This window comes from Homo sapiens, chromosome 2, assembly GCF_000001405.40.
Source record: "Homo sapiens chromosome 2, GRCh38.p14 Primary Assembly".
Classification (NCBI taxonomy): Eukaryota; Metazoa; Chordata; class Mammalia; order Primates; family Hominidae; genus Homo; species Homo sapiens.
The window spans coordinates 143,927,834-143,936,361 of NC_000002.12; positions in this window are offsets into that span (position 1 = coordinate 143,927,834).

An 8,528-nucleotide genomic window follows, 5' to 3' on the forward strand; every position below is an offset into this window, starting at 1 on the left:
TCCTTTGGAAGACATTTAGAAAGACCACTACAGATCTATATTTAAGTTAAAATTCAACCCCATATGGTGATAGTAGTGGAAATAACTCAGTGAAGAAGAGAGACTTGTTTAACAAGAGATACAATGTGAACTACAGCACAACTTATTCCTCTGTCTACAGCTGGAAAGTTTCTTTTAACCTGGATTGAAGGATCCATTCCAATGTAACACTGAAGTGGTCATCTGAAATTATGTCTTCCTTAGTTTCCCTAATCCCCCACCACAAGTGTAAAAAAGTGACCCAAGCAGGGTGAATAAATGCCCTTTTGCCAGAGTCTGATTTGGATGCTGGATGTGAGAGTTTCTCTTTTCTGAGTCTGTAAGAATCATAGGTAACACACACAAGTTAACTTTCCTACCACATCAACATAGCCTTCTAGAGAAAGAAATCAATATAGAGGGGAGAAAGGAGAGAGAAGGAGGGAGGGAGAGGGAGGGAAAGTAGCGGGGGAGAAGGGGAGAGAGAGAGAAAGAGAGAGAGAGAAAAAAGGGAGAGAGAGAGAAAAGGAGAGAGAAAGAGAGAGAGAAATGGAGAGAGAGAGAAAGGGAGAGAGAGAGAAAAATGGAGAGAGAAAGAAAAATGGACAGAGAGAAAGGGAGAGAGAGACAGAAAGGGTGAGAGAAAAAGGGACAGAGAGTATGGTGGTGCTTGAGCACTGGGTCCTCATATTCCCAAAGATCATCTCCTAGGACTTTTCAACACATAAGCCAAATTTAATGCCTGAATAGTGTGAGTTAATTTCTGTCACTTGCAATTCAATAGAGCCCTGGATACTACAAAGTAATAACCCATATGAACAACATCATGATTAAAACAACAAATAAAAAAAACCCCACCACAGTGCAGCAACTAAAAATAATTTCAAAGTGACTCAAGTTCTTCATTTATTTTCTTGAACACTATGAAGGGCACAGAGTCCATAGCTATTCTTAAAAATCCCCCTCTGCCTCCCCCATCTAGTGGTTCACACACAGCAGCTGCTGCTTCTCCTTTATATCTGTCTTCAAATTCCACTCTCACGTCAAGATAACCTCCTCCTCCAAATTTAATCTTTTGAACTTTTGTTCTTTCTCCCTTTCCTCCCTATTCTCATCCCTAAAGCCCAAAAAGAACTTGTCTGTCAAGGCAAGACTCACCTCAGAACAAAAAGAATGGAGAAAGCCAAGGAGGCAAAGCAGGGAAATTTGTTAGCAAGAAGAGAAGGCTGGGAACATCCACAGGTTCCTCCTTTTTGTCCCATTGCTCCCCTTTTAAAAATGTTACAAAGTGAAAATAAATGTACCTTCATTTGAGGTTCTACAAATGTTTTAACATTTTTTTTCTTTCTAATCCAATGTCTTCCACATACATATCAGGTTCCTAATAATAATTTTTGAATAAACAAAGAAGAAGTTAATGACTATATGAATTACAGAATGAACAAAAAAGGGACACATGAATAAATGTCAAAGTAAGACATTAAACATATTTAGAAACTTATTATTGAAAAAATTTGTTATGGCCAATATATGCTGCACATCTAGAAGAGTAAAAAAATAATATTTCTAAAACCCAAGTCATCTTTTCACATACATTAAATGAATAAATAAAAAAAGTAAAAAATAACTTTGACAGTAAAAGCAAATTATATCTCTATTTATCAAAAGTTATCTAAAATTTAAATAATCTCAGTAATGTCAGTTATCTCAGTAGTAGCTATAACTGAGGATATTAATCTGGATTATCTGCAAACAACAAAAACTCAATCTGACTAAACTAGACACGAATGTATTTATTGGGAGAAGTTGCAGTATGGATTAGCTACCAAATAGTCATTTCCTCTCTTTTGTCTTTGTGTACTTCATTCTAATTTTTTTAATGGTCTATTCATCCCTCTACTCCTATATGGCTCAGGGTTAGGGTCTAATTGATAGATCCAATTCCCATTCCCCCTGCAGTTTATGCATATATGATGCAATGAGGTTATGTGGGGGATTCTCTTAGTGGGCTTCTGGCAAACTCTTCTTGACTGCAGAAAGAGAGACAAGAAAATAAAAACAAAAACAAAAAAACCCTCTCCTGCATCTGGAAATAGACACATGGTGAGGACGTGATGGCTGCATTGCTGCAGCCTTCTTGTGACCATAAGGGGTCAGCTGAAGAAAGGCTAACACGTCAGGATGGGAGAGTGGAAAGATGTAGCCACTCTACATCCACCCTTCTTGCTATCTGAAATAATTTTTCCTTGCTGAACAAGTCAGTTGAACCAGGGCCTTCGGTTTTCTGCACCTGACAGAATCCTAGTGGATAGAGAACAATATCAAAGGGAGGGAGGCTGGACTTTTGAGCTTGGGACTCGTAGAAACCCCAGCAGCTGCGGAGGTTAGGAAACAGACCCCACCCGCCATCTTTTGGTGGAAATAGTCTGAGTGGGTTCCTCCACGCAGGAAGGACTGGAATACAGACGTTATCTTTTTGTTCCTCTCTTCAAGTCAAGATTCCATTTCCAGGATTGATAATATCAGAAATAATTATTTCCGGGGCCAGGCGTGGTGGCTCACGCCTGTAATCCCAGCACTTTGGGAGGCCGAGGGGGGTGGATCACGAGGTCAGGAGATCAAGACCATCTTGGCTAACACGGTGAAACCCCGTCTCTATTAAAAATACAAAAATTATACAAAATTACAAAAAATTACAAAAAATACAAAAAATTAGGCGCGGTTGCGGGCGCCTGTAGTCCCAGCTACTCGGGAGGCTGAGGCAGGAGAATGGCATGAACCCGGGAGGCGGAGCTTGCAGTGAGCTGAGATCGCGCCACTGCACTCCAGTCTGGGCAACAGAGCGAGACTCCGTCTCAAAAAAAAAAAAAAAAAAAAAAAAAAAAGAAATAATTATTTCCTCACATAGAATTTCAGATTCTGACAGAAGGATAGGTAGATACTGAATAGCCAAAAATGTCCAAGTGTCCACAACATCAACAATCAGCTGCCTGGTTTTCTCCAAGACCTCCTGCATTATGGGTTTCCTTGTGTCTTAGCGTTCATCCTCAGAGGGCTTCCATTTCTCCTAATTATCTCCTGTCCCTATTTTCCACTTCCATAACATTCTCTGTCTTTAGTATATTTCATTTTTTAGAGATAGGGTCTTGCTCTGTTGCCTTGGCTAGAATGCAGTGGTGCAATCATAGCTCAATGCAATCTTGAATTCCTGGACTCAAGTGATCCTCCCACTTCAGCCTCCCAAGTAGCTGGAATGACAGGCACGTGCCACCACAGCTAATTTGTAAAGATTTTTGTACAGATAGGGTCTCACTATGTTGCCCAGGCTGGTCTCAAACTTCTGGCCTCAAGTGATCCTCCCACCCCGGCCTCTCAAAGTGCTAGGATTACAGGAGTCAGCCACCACACCTGGCCTTGTCTTTATTTTAAATAATTTCTTCCACAGTGTCACCTTTGTCCACCCTCCTTGTACCTTCATTCCCCAAATGTGGAACTAAAGCAAGCGAGTTTTAGTGTAGCTGGCTTTCAGTGGAAGCTTGGGATTACAGGTAGAGATGACATTGGGCCACATGCTTAAAACAGTGTAATCCATCCCTTGAATAAAAAGAATATAGTAATCCATTCTATCCCACTACAGGTTGCTGCTGGATATGTTACTTTTAAGTCCTTGCTTATGTCCTTCTATTCTGTGACCATTTTCTTTTCCTCTCTACAAGGTTTTTTTTTTTCTTCAGTCTTCCCAAATTCCTATTCATTTCTTAAGCAGAGTTGTTCTTCACCTTTTATTCCAAATCCAGCTTGTGGCCAACTCATGCATATCCCAGAATCCATTAAGGAGCTCTGGCAATGGATTATCGACTTCAGATTTCTATCTGTTAAAGCACACTGCTCCATGATAGCTTTGGAATTCATTTTTCCTTTCCTGGTTACAAATTTTAGGAAGTGCTTCCCTCCTGACTAATCTTGGTAAGCAGAGAGGGAGTTATTTAAAAACTTAAGACTTATCCTTCTCCAGTTCACAGAAAAGCCCGAAGAGATTTATTTTCTTTCCTTTCTTTTTCCCTTCAGCTCCTCCTCTTTTCCTTCTTCTCCCCACCCAATACAAAGATGGTAATTGTAATGTATTCACATACTCACAATCCAAATGAAGAGCAAAGTATGAAACCCAGTCTAAGGGGAAGGAGCACACTGGGTGCCATGTGCTATCACCTGTAGTCCCAGTTCTGCAATGTCCTAGCAGTATGATTTTGAGTTGCTCCTTCTGACATTTGTGACGAAAGCTATGGTTTATCTATGTCACAAGGGCGTTCTAAAGACTAAATCAGAGGACAGATGAAGAAGCGCATCTTAAATTATAAAGAGCTACCCAAGTATAATAGAGTGAATACCAGATGGCAGATTCCATCAGTAGAAGGTCCAAGAGAACGAGGCAAGAACCCAGCTGCTGCTGATCTCTTAATAGAGGCAAGAATTCCATCAAAGAGCAAAGACTCCAGGGCCTGAGATTTTTGGGGCCCCAAGGTCGGGGGGGTGGGGGGCCAACAACAAGACTGGAGCTTGAGTTGGAGAGCTAGTGGGAATCCTTTTATTTATTTTGTAGAGGCCGATTTGATCTCTGTGGTTGCTGCAGATCTAAACTTAAAAGAAATCTTACTCTACTCGCTCTTTTCTATGGCTAAAGGAGCAAAGAGTTAATTACCTTGTTACATTCATCTCTCCTTCCAAATTTTCCAGGAGCTTTTCCCTTCATTAGCCATCAGATGAAACTGAAGAATATTTATTATTTATTGTGTGTGTTAAATTTTATGTCTTTTCTTCTTAATGTTTAAAATGCATGAGTTTACTACTTTCTGTATTCTCTCCTTAAAAAAGCAATATTTTTGTTGTTGTTGTTTTTATTGTTTGTTTACCTGCAGTCCTCAAATGACTTTTCTTAGGGTCAATAATTCTTCATAAAAAGCAAAATGAAAAGATACTTCTGGCATGCTTTAGATTAATCGCAAGAAGCAAATAGTTTCCCATACATTTTTCTTATTCTTAATTCCTTTCTTTTATCTTTTATCCGATTTAAATATAATACCTATAAATGGCCACTCAGTAATGGTTAAGTTATATGGTTTTACTTCAGGGCTCAATAGTAACTTATTAAAGTATATTTTATAAAATGATTTGGCTGTCAAGATAACGGGACTATAGCAATGACTTATGTGCACACTGTGGGTCACTGCTATGGCTCTAAGTCGGTTCTAAAGGGAACATGATATGCACACCTACATGCCAATTTCAATCTTGATTATCTACTGCAATTTATTAGACTAGAGGAGTTCCGAAGAGTTTATTCATTTTAAGCCTTGTTTAACTTGCCTAGAAATGAACTGCTAGATAAAGTATCAGTAGGAAAGCATGTCGAATAATTCCTCCACTGAAAATCATCATTATTTTTGCACTTACAATAGGCAAAATATAAGAGTGCATTATACATAGTCTTGTTCATTTTATGTATTTATGGCTTATTTCTATATTGTAAATGCCTTAAACACAGAAAATGCCTCTACTTCTCTGTCTCCCACAATGGGAATATGGATATCTTTTAGTACTTGCTTCACTTAAGAATGCTGGGCTTGAATAAAAAAACTAGTTCACATGTATCACAAAGGTTTACTTAAAAGTTTCCCCTAGTTGTTTAATATCTGAATGCAAAAATCTAGGTTTGATTTGGAAATGATGATGCTTGTAATGATTATGTCTTATCTCCTCCAAGCAATTTGGAAAGCTTTGTCTGATAAACCTCTTTTATCCCAGTTCTATCTTCTGCTATTCTTACCTCCCTTCCCCCTCCACTTTTTCCAATCTCCTTCCTCTTTATCCCTAACATTATTATTATTTTTTGGATTCACTCTTATACTCTGTACACACTTGAGCAATTACGTAGGAAAAAGGAGTCTGGCATTTTCTTATTGTAACCCAAAGAAAAACAAGCTTAAGCATATCTTGATAACATAAAAAGCCAATGGATTCATTTTTGGGGGAAAAAAATCTGACCAGAAAGAAAACAAATAGACTTTCAAAATATAACATTTAGATTGAAAAAAAAAAAGTATAATGGGTCAGTTTGTTTACTTAGAGAAGGTATTCTTAATGTTCTTAATTATGTATGAGTACATAATCTAGGTTGGTACAATTTTAGATGAAGCTGCTAAAACTAAAATGTTTGAGAAAACAGATATTGCTAAATAGTACAGAGAAACCACTTTATACAGCACCATTTTTTCATTGAACACTCAACTGAGAAGTAAAACATCCAGAACATGCCCAGTTTATTGGGAGTTTGTTTTCATATTTCTGCATGTGTTTATAAAAGCATTTCAAGATGTAGCTTTTTACTGATTCTACCTTGTTAAAAAATCAATCAAGCAACCATCATTTGCTAATAAATGTTTTTATCACAGCTTTCAAACCTTTTTCAAGACATCTGAGCTCATCTTCACTTCCTCCTTCTTGAAAAAGAGACCCCATGGTGTGACACTCTAAAACCACCTCTGGATTTAAAACTATGGCTGCCTGGAATTGAAGGCCCAGTTGCTGAGATTCCCTGATTTGCAAAGCAAGGGAGAGTTCCTAACTGAATAACTTGAGTTTGTAACTAAAAACAAAAACAAAAACCTGCTCATCTATTGCAAGTAAGTATACTCCCTTTGTTACATGGTATGCAATTAGATGCCTTTGAAATAAAAGGTAAGTTAAATCAGAAGTCTCGGGGACAAGAAAATACTATTTTAAAACAGGGAGTGTCAGATGTTTTTCAATTCAGTACCAAAGGGTATTTCACAGGTAATTTCTCAGGGCTGATGTTAGCTAATTATTAGCTACCATATCCTGCCTGCCATTCTTAGTGACTATCTCCTGGCAGAAAGACACAGCTAGGAGTGTTTTGTTTCATTTGTCCTTGGAGTTTTTATCAGCATCAAGAAGGTGGACTGAGCCAAAGTTAGAAGAATTCTGGAGCTAAGCAAAAAGCGACACGTTTAACAGCCCCCATTAATTGGGGCTGTTACATGATTAATTTGAGAAAAACAGAAGAGACCGATTTCTTTACAACTCACAGTTGGATGCAACGCACTAAAAGTAATCCTGTAAATTACATTTTAAATCTCCAACATATTCCGAGCAGATAAAATAGTGGCATGATTGACCAAACTCCTTTTAAAAGTACACATATTACGATGCATCATAGTTATAAACAGATGGTATTTGGCCTCCTTCCTATTCTCAACATTTGGAATTTCTAAACTATGTGAATTAAACAATAATATTTTATAAACATACAAGGGATTTTGCTCACTGCTTTGTTAACATAGAAATTATACAATGCTGACATTTATTTAAATTTTAAAAAGTAAACAACAGTGTGCATCGAAATAAAGCAAACTAAAATCAACATAGAGAAGTATGTTCTGTGTGCGTACTACCTACAATGGCACTGGCCTTTTAAAGGGAAGACATAATGGGTTGAAGAACAAATTGTAGCATAGATCGGCCTAATCCCTTGTACTCCAAGGCTCATTTAACACCTCTCTGTAAACAACGGATATTTATACCATAATTGGCTATTTGACCATCAGTGTTCATTTACTATGTAACCTGCTATTATGGAGTTAAAAGAAGCTCCCCTTCATTGGCTCGTCAGCTTTCAGAGTAGCGAAAGTGTCCTCGCAGTTTTAAAAACACTTACACAAACGGGAATCAGTCTGACACTTGTACTCAGAATGAGAAACATTATCATGATATCAATAAGTATATATTTATTCTTTGGGGGATATTATTGCCAGAAAGAAAAGGAAATATATTAGATCTGAGTGTCATTTCCTAAGATTCTTTTCTAAAATTATAGCTTTAACCCTTTAGCCGCAGTTTGGAAGGGAGACCCATCTGCTGATTTGATGTACTAAATAGAAGGCACTTGGTTTCCAAACACTATTCTCAGATTCGCAAAGTTGCGCTGTGATGAATAAATAATGAATCAGATATTTCAATCCGTTTTATGATTTTTGAAAGCCCTGATTATCATTGTTTACAGTCTCTTCTTAATGCACTTCCCATGCGTTCTTGTTCAGCCTTCCAAGAGTTGGTTTATGTAGGCCACCCTCTCCCAACCTCGCTTTACTTTTGGACTGCTCTCACGTGTTAACCCACCCGCTCACACCTTTAAACCAGTTTGGGGAATATTTCAAATCTGAGGGGGGAAATCTTGAGCGACAGATGACAAGGAGTATTCGCAAACACTCCAGGCTAATGTTGCTTGTATTTGGTCACAGGTGTGCCCTGCTTTTGCGTACTATAATATCTCTATTGGTGAGAAAGAGGGAGAAAATTATGCTAAAACCACATGGATAGAAAGGAAAACGGCACTGCTGAAATCAGGAAGGATCAGCATTCCTTTTCTCCTATACATACGTGTGTATACTCAGATAAATAATGATAAATCACGGCAGTGTGAGGGAGGCTTTTAA